Genomic DNA, 14,454 nt, shown 5'->3' with positions numbered 1-14,454 from the left:
ATGCACCTAATAAATATTGTTATTAATATTATTATTGTTGAATCAGGTTTCTACTTGTTATGTGTGGCTCCAGAGAATTGAACCAGGACCTAAGAATAGGAATTACAGGGAAGTATATAGATTATGGCACAGTTCAAGGAAAACTTTTATGACAGAGCTATTGGGAAGAGAGCAAACTGCCTCAGAAGGTAGTGGGTTTTAGAGACACCCACACAGAGCACAGATATTACCAGAATATAGTGAAGGAAATTCACTTGTCAAGGAGTTTAGAGTAATTATTTCTGAATACCTTCCCAAATGTGAAATTTAGCAATGCCAAACAACTATCACAGGCAGTGTGATTTGCAAAATAATGTGCTCTTGAATTTTTTTTTCCATTTAAAATCTATTCAGAGAAGGAAATGTAAATTATTTTGACAAACATGTCACTGCATAACCTGTAGCTAATCCCTTTTGCCTAGGGAAGATTGCATTTCCAATTGATTCTTGGGATACCAACCAATTCAAGCCTCTCAGACTTGAGTTTTGGTCTTTTTTTTTTTTTTGGTTTAAACGGAGTCTCGCTCTGTTGCCCAGGCTGGAGTGCAGTGGTGCGATCTCAGCTCACTGCAAGCTCTGCCTCCCGGGTTCACACCATTGGTCTTGGTTTTAATGGAGAGTCTGTGGTCCAGACAGCATTTACCCTGTGTGGACATTACAGTGATTCAAAGCCTCCTGTTGCCATAGACTTAATACTGGGACTTCAAAGCGATTTCAGAACCTTTAACTGTCCTAGATTAGAGCTACTAAGTCATTCAAGAGTTGTCAACTTAATGGATCCCCTTAATCAAACCATTAACTCTGAAGAAGGGTGTCTTTGTTAAGCGTGTCTCTGCATTTTTCATGTTTTAAATAGTGAGGACTTGTAGAAATATTAATGGAAAGCACTTGATTGAATGGGCTTTCAACTGCCCTGATTGTTTTCTTCAAGTTACTTTCAGGCATCTATCCATTCCACCTTTGTTGTTTTGACAAGTTTCCACTTTATCCCACCTTATTCTTTACCTTTATTTAATATTTAAAAAATTATCAGATTTGAACAGTCATACATTAACTACTAATTGTAAGGAACATAGATACTTAATGCAAATGTGACAGAAGATCAATGGCTTTAGAGGTTTGTTTCTTTTGAGCCTTCTATGGGCTTTGCATATATATTCTTCCAGTGTTAAGGATGTATCGCACAAAGAAAGTTTTTTTGTTTGTTTTTGTTTTTGTTTTTTCTGACATGGAGTCTCGCCCTCTCACCCAGGCTGGAGTGCAATGGCGCGATCTTGGCTCACTGCAACCTCTGCCTCCCTGGTTCAAGCAGTTCTCCTGCCTCAGCCTCCCTGGTTCAAGCGATTCTCCTGCCTCAGCCTCCCGAGTAGCTGGGATTACAGGTGCGCACCACCACGCCCGGCTAATTTTTTGTATCTTTAGTAGAGATGGGGTTTCACCATGTTGGCCAGGCTCATCTCCAACTCCTGACCTCAGATGATGTGCCCTCCTTGGCCTCCCAAAGTGCTGGGATTACAGGCATGAGCCACCGCGCCTGGCCCACAAAGAACGTTTTAATAGGAAAAATGGATAGAGAAATTCCCTGCTCTCATGGACCTCTAACTTTAGATACTTACCCTTGCTTGGAAATATATTGTGCTAAATGGCATTTTCACACATCCCAGCCAGTGTCTCTCAATACGAGTATGGATTCCACTTCCTCTTTCACGGTCATCCTAAAGGAAGGGTGGGAAGTAATAATTGCTTAAGAACTCCAGAAACTCATTTAATTAATCTGGCAGCAGGAAAGCAGCAAGATTTTAGCTGAAAGCATATGAACTTATATTAGATAGACCTAATCAAATTCTGGTACAGATACATAATGGCTTTGTGGCCCTAGGAAAGTCATTTGACCTCTCTGAACCTCAGTTTTCTCATCAATAAACTAGAGATTTAACAATCTATAGGATTATTTAGAATTAAATCAGACAATGTGCGTAAAGCACCTAGTACAATTCCTGGCACAGTGCAGACAGTCAAGTGAAAATAAAAAAACTAGCTCCTTCTCCCTCTCCCCTGTCCCCATTGATACATGTCAAGTTTCAAATATTTCAAACACAAGAAAGATGGAAAATGTTACCAGAGGCGTTTGAACCAAAGCGACTCCATCTTGAGTGACGGCTAGGAAACATGAGGCTGGGACTTGCTGGGCTGCATTCCCAGAAAGTTAGGCATTCCTGGCCTCTAGATGTTTACAGTTAAGGGAACAGACTGATAATATTTACTAAACAGACCCAGACTTAGGAGTGTCCTGATATCCCGGTATCTTGAGAACAGAGGCATTCCTAATTTTGCTTTAAATATAATAAATAGATTCTTGCAAAATACAGTAATTTAGAAAACGAATCCTTTATCACAAACTCTTGTAGCAGAGCACATCTTCCCATGATCTTTTTTTATCCTATATCTAAACAAGCATTGTACCTAGGGTAAATGCATTCTTCCTCTTACTTTCGAGAACACCCTATTCTGTCTATGGAGTAGCTATTCTTTCACCACTTTACTTTCCTAATAAACTCGCTTTTGCTTTGCACTGTGGACTCGCTCTGAATTCTTTCTTGTGTGATATCCAAGAAAGGATCTAGATCGGGACCCCTTTCTGGTAACAATGTGATTGGAACTTATGTAGTGGGTAGAGGATATGAAAGTGAATACAAGTGTCTTTCTTAAAACTGAGAACTTACCTCTAAGACATCATGCAGTACTTCATCAAAAATGTTAATGAACACAACATCTTTCACTGACTGCAGACTGGCTGTGCTATAATCTCCATTAGGAGCCCTGCAAGACAGCACATGACCAGGGACTGTGAAAATAGGCAACATAGAAATTATGAGCATTCAAATGTCAGCATTTGAAAAATACCCAAATATGAGCATAGATGTTAGAATTAAAAGCATTGCTTTCATTTCTAGGATTTCTCTTGTACAGGGATACTATAATACCTATATTCAAATGGACAGAGCATTACATTAGAGACTCTATGCAGAGACAAACCCTCTGCTGGCTTGTCCTGGTGAGTCTCATATTCCCCCACACCCTTGTGGTAAGCTTTTCAAGGAGGCAGCTTGCCAGGACTGAGCTAGCTTAGTGGACAGGCTACAAGGTTTCCAGCTGACACTGGAGCTAGTATATGGACTTCCTAAGCAAATGGGCCCCAGAAGGGTGCTTCTCCAGCAAAACCACTCTCCAGTGATAAACCTCCTACTGGCTGGTTGGTCTAATGGTCCCTGCCTCACACTCACCTTTTCTGTATATAAGTAAAGCAATACAGGGGTAAGGTCTCCTGTAACATAACCCACTCTGAGTCTAGCTAAGCCTGGAGCAACCGTGCCTCTGCATGGCAGGGCTGGTGTCTGGGGTAATAGGTGTATTTTGTTGAACATTTGACTTTATGTTTTCTTGTTCTTTTTGCTGTTCTGTGCATAATAGTGGTAGCTGTTACCTTCTTCTGACTTAACTAGTTCTTATTTATGTATTTATTTTGAGACAGAGTCTCGCTCTCTCGCTAAGGTTGGAGTGCAGTGGCGTGATCTTGACTCACTGCAACTTCCACCTCCCGGGTTCAAGTAATTCTCCTGCCTCAGCCTCCAAGTAGCTGGGATTACAGGCATGTGCCCTGGCCTCAAGTGATCTGCCCGCCTTGGCCTCCCAAAGTGCTGGGATTACAGGCGTGAGCCACCATGCTCGGCCTGACTTAAGTAGTTCTAATCCTTGCTCTGTCTCTAATTTACTGTGTGGCTTTAAGTAAGTCACCTTCCCTTTTTGGGTTTTAGTTTCTTCTCCATAAAGGTAGAGGTTGGACTAGATAATCTCCAAGGTTGCTTCAAGTACTGAAATAATAAGAACCATTTAAATATCTAAAATCCTTTGACCAAACTTCTGAAATGCCTATTTATTTCTGGTGAGGAAGAAAGTATGATTTATGGGAACTAAGGAGTTTCAGATTTACTTGAGGGGACATGAGGAAGAAAGGAAAGCAGTGTAGGTCATTGGGGTCAAGGGAATGAAAAACTTTGGGCTTTAAGAAGCCAGAGCCTGGAGGAGCATAGGATGTCCCAACAATGAATCTGGGGTTTTAAAAGTTGGACATTTTTCCATTTTTATTCTTGAAGGGAGTCAGCTGTGGTACAAGAGGAAAAGCATGGGACTTGGCGTCAGGACACCTGGATCTTGTTGCCGCTCACTAGCTACAAAATCCTTCACCTTAGCCGTTTCTCATGAGCCTGCTTTCTTCACATTTCTTCAAAATGTCCTATAGTTCTTTAAAGAGGAAAATATGCTTACCTAAATGGAAGTTCTAGTTCTTCATTCCAGCTAGGGTTTGGTCCTTCAGCCGTAGTCGTATGGCAAACTGTTCGTTGAAAAGAGACTTCTACAAAGGGACGTACTAAAACCTTAAAATCAAGAGCAAATTCTGAGTTCCCAATGGTTAGTCAAATTATTTTATTCTTAGCAAAAATAGAGTATATTTACTAAGTAGTATGTTTCCAAAGAAAATGAAGCAGAGAGCAGACTATCCATGAAGTTTACAGTCATTTCTTAAAAACTTAAGGGGCAAGGTGGAAAGCTGAAGTCCAGCATCTCTCACCTGGCCGAGGGGGTAGTCAGCATTGTGGGTTGGGCTGTACGTGCTTGGGGAAGCAGCATGCTTTTCACTGAACATCCTTGAAGACCTCGACGGCTGCTGGAATTTGCTAGGAGAGAAAATGTATGAAGGAAATTAATGATAGAGGAAGTCTAATTATATATTGAGAAGACAATTATTTATTTATTGAGATAGGGTCTCACTCTGTCGCCCAAGCTGAAGTGCAGTGGCATGATCTCGGCTGGTGCAATCTCAGCTCACTGCAACCTCTGTCTCCCAAGCTCAGGTGATCCTCCCACCTCAGCCTCCCAAGTAGCTGGGACTACAGGTGTGAGTCACCACACCTAGCTAATTTTTGTATTTTTAGTAAAGATGTGGTTTTGCCATGTTGCTAAGGCTGGTCTCAAACTTCTGAGCTCAAGTAATCTGCCCACTTTGGCCTCCCAAAGTGCTGGAATCACAGGCATGAGTTACTGCACCCAGCCTTATTTTTATTTTTAAAAAAATTTTTGAGATAGAGTCTTGCTCTGTTGCCCAGGCTGGAGTGCAGTGGCATGATTATGGCTCACTCCAGCCTCAACCTCCCAGGCTCAAGCGATCCTCCCACTTCAGCCTCCAGAGTAGCTGGGACTACAAACACACTCCACCATGCCCAGCTAATTTTTAAAATTTTTTGTAGGGACCAGAGGTCTCAGGATGTTGCTCAGGGTGGTCTTGAACTCCTGCGTTCAAGTGATCCTCCTGTCTTGGGTTCCCAAAGTGCTGATATTGCAGGTGTGAGCCACCATGCCCAGCTTGAGAAGATGCTTTTTTCCAAAGATGTATGGCCCTGGTGGCTGTGGTGACAAACATTCTCCCTTATGCTTGTTGACATTGCAGAAGGCTTTTTAGTATGCTCTGGTCCCCACAGAGTCACCTAGAGATTGCTAGAGCCTTCCCCAACTTCCATGCCCAGGCCTGTGTGCTGAGAACAAAGGAAAATGTCTCCTTTCTCCTCCCTTCTAGGGGGCGCCTGAATGGGGGACCTGCCTTTCCCTCCATAGATGAGAGCCTCAATCCCTCACAGATAGGAGATCCTGAGCTTCCTGACCAGCCTGCCCCATCTCCATCCAGTCCAGGTTCTCCCCACTGTCTGTTCTTTGTACCTGCACTCTCCAATAACCCCAAGCTACACATGTCAGGCAAGGAATCTCCTGGGGCCTGCCAAGCCTCACCAGGAAAGGGAGGTGCAGGGATTCCTAGCTTGAGTTAGGATCAGCGAGTCTTATCCTCTTCTCCCTTCTCAACTGCTGTTCTTAAAGGAACAAATGAAGATCAAATCCAGAGAGTCTCTTCCAGATACCTCCACCATCACCCTAACAACATACTTGCATATTTGTATTGAACCTTATGGTTTGCCAAGTATTTCACATTCATCACTGGGCAAAATACAAATAGTCTCTTTCTATAGACTATCACCTTTCACAGCTAAGGTTTCAGACAAAGGTAATTGGAACATTTAATGCAACAGGTACCATAGAAAAGCTCTTTTCTTTTTGGAAAACCATCAGTTACTTTATTAAACAAACACTTGTGGCTGGATGCAATGGTTCATGCCTGTATTCCCAGCACTTTGGGAGGCCAAAGTGGGAGAATCGCTTGAGCCCAGGAGTTCAAGACCAGCCTGGTCAACAGAATGAGACCCCATCTCTAAAAAAATAATAAAACAAATTAGCTGGGCTTGGTGGTGTGTACCTGTAGTCTTAGCTACTTGGGAGGTTGAGGGAGGAGGATCTCTTGAGCCCAGGATTTCCAAGTCTGCAGTAAGCTGTGATTGCACCACTGCACTCCAGCCTGGGTGACACAGCAAGACCCTGGGTCTAAGAAGTAAAATTTAAAAACCCCCAAAAACCCATTTGTTTAGTACCTATATTTTAGGCCCCATGTTAGACTTTGGGCTTTTAAGATGAAGATAACACTTCACTGCAGACTAGACTGGAAGGCAGACACATAAACAAATCATCTCAATAAAGTGAGATAGGTATTAGACTAGAGGGATGGTCAGAGGCTGTATTAGAACAGTGAGGGAGGCAAAAAAAAAAAAAAACCGTATGTGGATGAGTGCAAAGGTAAATGGTAAAGACTTGGGCAGGCTTAATGGAACAGTTGATGTCTGAGCTGTCTCGATGTATCTGCATTGAATGTGTAGCATGTAGGATCAACTATGCTCCCTTAATTTAGTTGAATAAAATGATTTAACACTTAAAAATAGTCTATGGAGGTGAAAACTACAAGAAGCACCTATATGTTCTTTAAAAAATAGTTTTTCACCCCAGTTGAGCTTTGAGGCAATCAGGGTGAAAGGGTAGGCTGTGAGCTCAGGAAAGCAATGCCACAGCAGATTCAAGAGCTTATATGGACATTTACAAGTAACAAAGCATTAGGAATAGTTGATGATTGTAGATGCTCTCTAATAGGTTAACGAATTAGTTAAAAAATGTAAAGACACACATACACACAAATATGTAGGAGCCGGGTGCAGTGGCTCATGCCTATAATCCCAGCACTTTGGGAGGCAGAGGCAGGAGGATCGCTTGAGGCCAGGAGTCCGAGACCACCCTGGGCAAAATGGGGACAGCCTGTCTCTACAAAAAATAAAAAATTAGCCTCGCGTGGTGGGGCACACCTGTAGTCCCAACTAGTTGGGAAGCTGAGATGGGAGGATCACTTGAGCCCAGGAGGTCGAGGTTGCAGTGAGCTGTGATAGCACCACTGTACTCAGCCTGGGCAACAGAGTGAGACCCTGTTTCAAAATAAAAAATGTAAGGCAAAATAATGGGGTGAGAGGAAGGAGAGAGACAGAACTAAATTAAAGGGGAAGAACCTAGGGAGAAAAGACACCAAGGGCTGGAACAGTGCTCTTCCAAGGAAACAGTTAGGGCTGAATGACCTTAGCCAAGCCACTTATACTCTCTTTACTTCCATTTCCCCTTTTGTGAAGTGGAGATAGTAATAGCAGTAACAGTTAAATGAAATCTTATATGTGAACCTGCCTACCATGGTGCTTGAAACATGGTGAATGCACATTAAGTGCTACTTTCTCCCATTACACTGGTAAGGGCACTACCAAAAAGAAGTTTCACGCCAGGTGCATTGGCTCACACCAGTAATCCCAGCACTTTGAGAGGCTGAGGCAGGAGGATCACTTGAGGCCAGGAGTTCCAGACCAGCCTGGGCAACATAGCAGGACCCTGTCTCTACAAAAAAAAAGAAGTTTTAATTTTTGGTCCTTCCTTCTCTGTTTCCTCAGACTCATCTTCCCAATGGCTGAAGGCTCCCTGTTACCCCTGGTGTAGTGAATTCTAGTAGTCGTAACACATTTCTCCGAACAGATGAAAGGGAAGCCACGTTTTTATGTTCACAGCACATATGTTTCAGAACCTTGGACAGACACCTTTTGTGACTCTCCCCAGCTCATACCCACTTCTCTGAGATCTGTTCCTATCTCTGGGGCTGGTGCTTCTGACCCTGTCTCTCTGGCTATCGGCGATTAGACCATGGATCAACACCTGGCCAAGTTAGCACCTTCAGACTTCTCTGGAGAAAATGACGCTTAATTGGTGGTACTCTAGCTGCATGGGCCACTTCCATCACATGGAGAAAAATGAAGCAAACTCAGAGTGAGGCAAGTGAGAGACCACGGGGCCTCAGGAGAACTATCTTATCCCTGCAGTCTCCCTTGTAATTCAGCTATACCTCTTGTCCGAGTTATTTGAGATGTTCTTAATAAATCCCCTCTTTAGCCTGAATTGATGGAATTGGAATGTATTACTTGCAAACAGTAGGGCCTTGGCTTTGCAAGAACCCTCAGTCCCCTGCTGAACAATAACCACGTTAAGAATGAGAGTGAGTATGCTGTAAAGGAGCGATTGACTTGGCTGGGATGCTGCACACTGCATCTCGGGCTGTTGGGAGGGCTCTCACCTCACTGCCGGCTTCCTCACTGGAATGTCGTAAGCTCGCACAATGTTCACCAGCAGCTTTATGTCTCCATCAGACAGGTTTTGGGCTGTCACCTTCTTCCGACCTTTTCTCCTTGGCCGCAGTGGTCGCTTTTGTTCTGCCAGCTTGAAAAGGCTTAGGCCCAAAATGCTAATGATTACAGAACAGGATCAGGACTCTAAGAAAAAGAAAGGTCTGCAAAATTGTGAGACGACTTCCCGAACTCTGCCCCATGGTCCTGCACACGCCCCTGAAAAACTCCTTGTCCTTTGAAGGTGGGTGGAAATAGTCTAGAAATTCTCCCAAATGGGCGAGATCCTACTGCATGGATTGTTAAAACTTACTCTAGCTGCTGCTTATCCAAGGAAGAGAAGCCATGCTCTGGCCCTTACATTTCCTGCCTTATCTCTACCTTGCTCACCCACCAGTTCCTCAAACATGCCTATGGTCTCCCATCCTTCACATTTGCTTGGGCCAGTCCTGCAGAGGGAATGCCTCCCTGCATCTTCCTTGTCTGCCTAGTTGGTTGCAGTTTTACCCATCCCTTGGGGCCAGTGTCCACCTCCCCCAGAGACTCAGCTACTCCAGCTGGAAGGGTTACTCTCTCTTCCAAACCTCTTGAGCTCCTATTAGCCTGCTCCCTTCACATGACAGTGGGTGTGTACAGCTGCTTAGGCAGTTCCTGGGTTATCTCTTTCACTCTGGAGTTAGAACTGGGTGTGAATCCTGGCTCCACTCTTTGCCCTTGGGCAAATCATTTCACCTCTTTAAGTCTCTGTTTCATCATCTGTAAAATGTGGATAATGATACCTACTTCTTTGGATTGTTGAAGGGATTGAATAAGGAAGTGTGTGTAAAGCACCCTGACACTGCTCTAGCACTTAGTAGATGTCCTAAAATGGTAACTATTGGGTTGATGCCAGTGATTAAGGTGGAAGAAGAGGAGGAGGTATAGGGAGGAGGAAGGGGTTAGGGGAGAAGCAAGAGACTCCTTCTCTCATGTCTCTACCTTTCACGGAGATGATATGCAAGAAACACTTCCTGTAAGATGAAAGCAACAGAGTCAGTGAATCATAGGAGAAACGTTCATGGACCAAATAAATTCTGGCCCAGAAACTAAACAGAAACAAAGATGTGACTGTATCTGGAAGCTGATGTTAATGGCTGTGTGAAACAGCCAAAGAACAAAGCCAGCTTTGCAGAGCTGGCCACAGGCTATAATGCACATGGTTCTCTGCTTCCTTCCTGAGGATCAGAGCTGGCTAAGTGACCTCTTGACTGGAGCCCCTCTTTGCAAGAGGCACATGCCAGCTGAGGCTGAGGTCTCTGCAGCTCCTGTCTAGGCGCTGCTGACAGCTCCTATAAGGAAACCCAAGGAAGTTCCAGGATTCCAGGAGCTGTTGTTCCTGTTTATTCTCCAAGGTTTTACACAAAATAGCTACCATTTATAAGCACCTCCTATGTATTGAGAAGAGTGCTGGGTGCCTTACATATAACATTTCTAATCTTTACGCATATAATATTTACCCTGTATTTCAGATGAAGAAATTAGAGGCTACGAGAGGTGTTATGATTTGCTGAAGGTTCCTTAGTAGTAGGAGGGAGAGCAGGGGTTCAAACTCAGGTCACTGTGACTATATAGCTCATGTTTTTAATCACTCTGCCAGGACACCTACCTAACCCAAACTAGGGGGCCTCAGAGACAGAACTTTGTTAGAGGTCCTAACATGACAACACTCTTCCATTGTCAATGCTTCCTCCCTCCCCTGGAGGTAAGTCCTCCCTGAGACTTTGATGTCTCCATAGCAGTCAGCATGGGAGCACCATGTCAGCCAGGACCATCAAATACAGAAACATCTTAAAGCCAAGAAGGAACTGAAATTAAAAGAAGAAAGAACATACCCTGAGCCTTCAGAACTTAATGCAGAAAGTAAAGCAGAAAAAAAGGAAGGAAAAGAAAAAAAAAACAATATGAAAAATCATCATCTATTCTAAGTGTAATTTTCATGACTTTGAAAACATTCAATGACTGGACTGTGGGCCTGGAATAGAGAGAGAGGTTTTGCATGGATTTATGTGGGTGTAGCCTCCTTTCTATATGTGGAAAGGGGCTGCTATGGATTGCACATTTTTTTTGTCTCCTTCCCAACTTGATGGTGGAGAGAAAGTATATGCATAGAAAAAACCTTTTTAGGAGACCAAGAGACTTAATCACAGAAAAGGTCATGTGGCCTGCACAAGACCACCAGTATGGGAAATTATCTTTCATCTTTTCTATATCCACACCCCTAGTTGAAGCCATTTGACAATTATCCAAACTAATGAGTCAATCAAGCAAATACAGTCAATTCCCAATATCTGTGTGAATATCAAATCTTTCCTGCTGTTCTACACTCTCACCAAGCACATGCACCAGCTCTCTGCCCACCAGCTGTGGTGCTGCAACCAGGTTTCCTCGTCCACCCCAGAAGCTTGTGGGTGGGGTCTCAGCCACCTCTACTGCCATGCGACAGGAGAGTAAGGGAATGTCTGGCACTGGGAGACTAGGAAAACAGGAGAAGTACTTGCAGGAGGGAAATGCTGTCAGGTTTAGTTCAACGGGAATGAGAAAATGGCAAAGGCTAATGAAGTTGATTTGGAAGTAGGGGAGGTGAGATGGGGTTTGTTGGAATGCAATGGGAGAGGCCCTAGGAAGACTTGTTCTAGTAGAAATCCCTCAACTAATGTCATCATCAGGTATTAACCAGGTTTAACACATTATTCCTGGCCCAAATGCATACCATACGATGATTTTTAAAAATCTTATATGATACCTTTCATATAATAGAGTATAAATAATAATTTTTATAAGAATTGATAATAATGGCTTTGATTATTTTTACCTGATATTGGGAACTTCTTCTTCTACTATCATATCAGCAAGAAGAAAATATTGTTTTGCAATTAAGAAACGATTTATCACTGATTCTCTAACCTGGGGAAAGAAATCAGCTTATTTAAAATGTTATTATTTAAACTTCGTAGTTCACTCTCCACACTCTAAGTTTTTACCCTAATGTCATCTCAGTGTCCCCCCAGTCCTCCAGCCCAACTGTTACTTTCCTCTGCAATGCTGGTCTCCTCTTGCTGTAAACCCTCTAGCTTTCTGTACTAGACTGTAAGCTCCCTAAAGTCAGGGGTTTTCCTGTTTTGCTTACTGCAATATTGGAGTTCCTGGTAAAGTTCCCGGCATATAAGATGGCAAAATTTGCTGAAATAATGAATTAACCATTACAAAAAATAGGGCCAGTCTCAAAACACACATACTTAAGAACTGATTCTTAAGTTATTCCCTTATCCAGAATGATTCACTTCCTAATTCCAGAGGACCTCTGGCTGGGCGCGGTGGCTCATGCCTGTAATCCCAGCACTTTGAGAGGCCAAGGTGGGTGGATTGCTTGAGCTCAGGAGTTCGAGACTAGCCTGGGGCACGTGGCAAAACCCCATCTCTACAAAAAATATAAAAATTAGCCAGGCATGGTGGTGTGTACCTGTAGTCCTGGCTATTCGAGAGGCTGAGGTGGGAGGATGGCTTGAGCCCGGGAGGTGGACGTTAGAGTGAACTGAGATCACACTACACTACTGCACTTCAGCCTGGGCGACAAAGCCAACCAGCCCCCTGTCTCAAATATATAAAAATAAATAAATAAATAAATAAATAACCTCTTAAATAATTCATTTTAAAAAATAATACATGAGCCACAGGGTAGATAACACTGGATGGGGAAAATGCACTGTAGTCACTTAGCATTTGTGGCAAGTTAAGTTTATTGAAGGAAGGAAGGAAAGAAGGAAAAAGGACAAACGAAAGGATGTTTCAGCTTTAATTTTTAGTTTTCTAGTGCATAAGGGCAGTTAGTATATGGTTTAAAAACTTTTGTTTTTTTCTGATTACAAAGGTAATCATTGTAACGCAATGCAACATTCAAATATTAGAAAAAACATGACTTAGAAATTGAATCCCTTGTAATCATGACCCATTAAAAGGTAACTGCTGATAATAAACCAGAACATAGCCTGGTTGTTTCATATATTTGAAAGGTGATGATAGTTGTCAATCAATTATATATTTGTGTTTATGAGGAAATTTATGCAAGCTAAGTGGCTTGCATAAGCTCACATAGATATTTAAAAGAGTAGAGGACTTTCCACCTTAGGGTGCTGGCTCTTTTCTCCCTATGAAGACAGTTTTATATGATTTTTCTTACCTGCTGGAGGTACTTGGCTACTATGGCCCTATGGGTGTCTATGTGTTCCTTGGTTTCTATTACATTTCTGTCTCGTAACCGTTTCTCATAGTCCTAAAATTAAAAAGAGGCAATGATTTTAAAGCACTCTCTGGTGCTTTTCTTAAGATCAGGTAATTATTTATCACATATGATTTAAGTTATAACTTGTGGTTTTAAATATTTCTTCCACCTTCTTCCTAACTTTTGGTTCAGAATTGGTCTTTGATAGAGTAACCAGGATTCTGAGACAGGTGGCTGAAATGCCTTACTAGTAGAAGAGAATTCTGTATAGTAGTTACAAGTTAAAACGTTAAGTCAGGAAGAAATAGAGGCCACAGAGAAGCTCTTCCAAGCAATTTAGCCAAAGCTCCTGCTTAAGTTTTGCCTTTTCTGTTTTAAGTAAAGTTTCAGTTAACACATTACCATAATCATATAACATCTGGCTGTAGCTGAGCCAGGTCATCTGCTTGGAGGAGAGTGATGCATACATCTGGCTTTGTCTGCTCAGGCCTCTCCCCTTTTCTGTCAACAAAATTATGTGTGTGCCCTGGGAACTGCTATGTTCTCCTCTAATCCCACTCTTTGGTCACAGTTGAATGCCTGGTAGTGGTACCTAACTCAGGCTCGGGGGACACACCTCTGCTGGCTGAAGATACTAGATGTGAACTTGTATGATGTTGGTGACCATGTGGTCAAGTAGAGAAAACCTGTCTGCAAAGGAGGAGCATGATGCCAACACATCAAAGAAGCCTAGAGAGGATGGAGAAGGGTCCTGGTAGCAGGCCAGGCACAGATGCACTCATGCCATTCACACGTTTTTAGATATTTAATGCTATTTTGAGATTTCATCATCCAGTAAACTCCCCTTGGTGCCTAAGGTAGTTCAAAATTGGCTTTTATCTCCTGTGATCAAAGTCCAAACTAATACAGAGAAGAACCAAATAACCAACCATATTCTTCAAGAATAGTTTTGCCATGAAAAATCTTCCTGGTACTAATTCCTGATGGCTCTCCATTTACCTTGTTAAGTATTAATAAAAGTGCATGTGTCTACAGCTCATGAAAAGCAGGGAAAAAGAAAAAAAAAGTGCATGCATCTGGTTTCACTGGCCTGCCCCACCTACACAGGCCTGTTACCTGCAGTTCCTCAAAGGCTCCTCCACCCCACACCTGGAGGTGCGATCTGCCCTCCTCTGAGTCTTTGTTCCTCCTGCTGCCCTTGACCAGGATGGATGCCCAGCCCTGTTCCTTTACCTCCTTCATGCCCCACCCATCCCATGGCTATTCAGATCCTATCCCTCTAGTTTTCCCTGTAGTGCTTTACCAGTGTGCTGAGTACATGACACTTAGTACATACTGCATTAAAATGGAATTGAATTCCTGACTAAGGCATTCAATAATTAGCCATGTTAATAATTAACTAGCCATATTATTAGCCATATTAACCTCTAAGATATTTTTCAACCCTACAATTCTAATTGTATGCAGTTCAGTTGACTCAGAATCCTGGTTACTGATTAGTTTATATATCATTATATT

At 42.7% G+C, this 14,454-nt stretch overlaps 1 protein-coding gene and 1 long non-coding RNA gene across 6 annotated transcripts in view; one reads left to right on the top strand and one right to left on the bottom strand.

Annotated features, from left to right (window-relative positions):
* CC2D2A (coiled-coil and C2 domain containing 2A) overlaps window positions 1-14,454 on the bottom strand; it is a 131,693-nt gene that overhangs the window by 29,406 nt on the left and 87,833 nt on the right. For 3 of the 5 annotated variants that reach the window (NM_001080522.2, NM_001378615.1, NM_001378617.1), the window contains 7 exons: window positions 12,895-12,987; window positions 11,530-11,621; window positions 8,630-8,797; window positions 4,670-4,775; window positions 4,366-4,475; window positions 2,763-2,859; window positions 1,656-1,754 (listed from right to left, as the gene is read on the bottom strand). In NM_001080522.2, coding sequence (NP_001073991.2) covers window positions 1,656-1,754; window positions 2,763-2,859; window positions 4,366-4,475; window positions 4,670-4,775; window positions 8,630-8,797; window positions 11,530-11,621; window positions 12,895-12,987 — 765 coding nt within the window. Of the gene's footprint in view, window positions 1-1,655; window positions 1,755-2,762; window positions 2,860-4,365; window positions 4,476-4,669; window positions 4,776-8,629; window positions 8,843-11,529; window positions 11,622-12,894; window positions 12,988-14,454 lie in introns of those variants that run through there. The other 2 variants (XM_047416010.1, XM_011513872.4) reach the window with 2 other exon arrangements.
* On the top strand, window positions 1,292-8,454 carry LOC124900671 (uncharacterized). The gene is made up of 2 exons (XR_007058061.1): window positions 1,292-1,421; window positions 7,956-8,454. It is a non-coding gene; the product is annotated as an uncharacterized LOC124900671 (long non-coding RNA).

Source organism: Homo sapiens, chromosome 4, assembly GCF_000001405.40.
Source record: "Homo sapiens chromosome 4, GRCh38.p14 Primary Assembly".
NCBI lineage: Eukaryota > Metazoa > Chordata > Mammalia > Primates > Hominidae > Homo > Homo sapiens.
The sequence above is the reverse complement of the archived record's forward strand: the minus strand, read 5'-3'. Positions and strand labels throughout refer to the sequence as shown.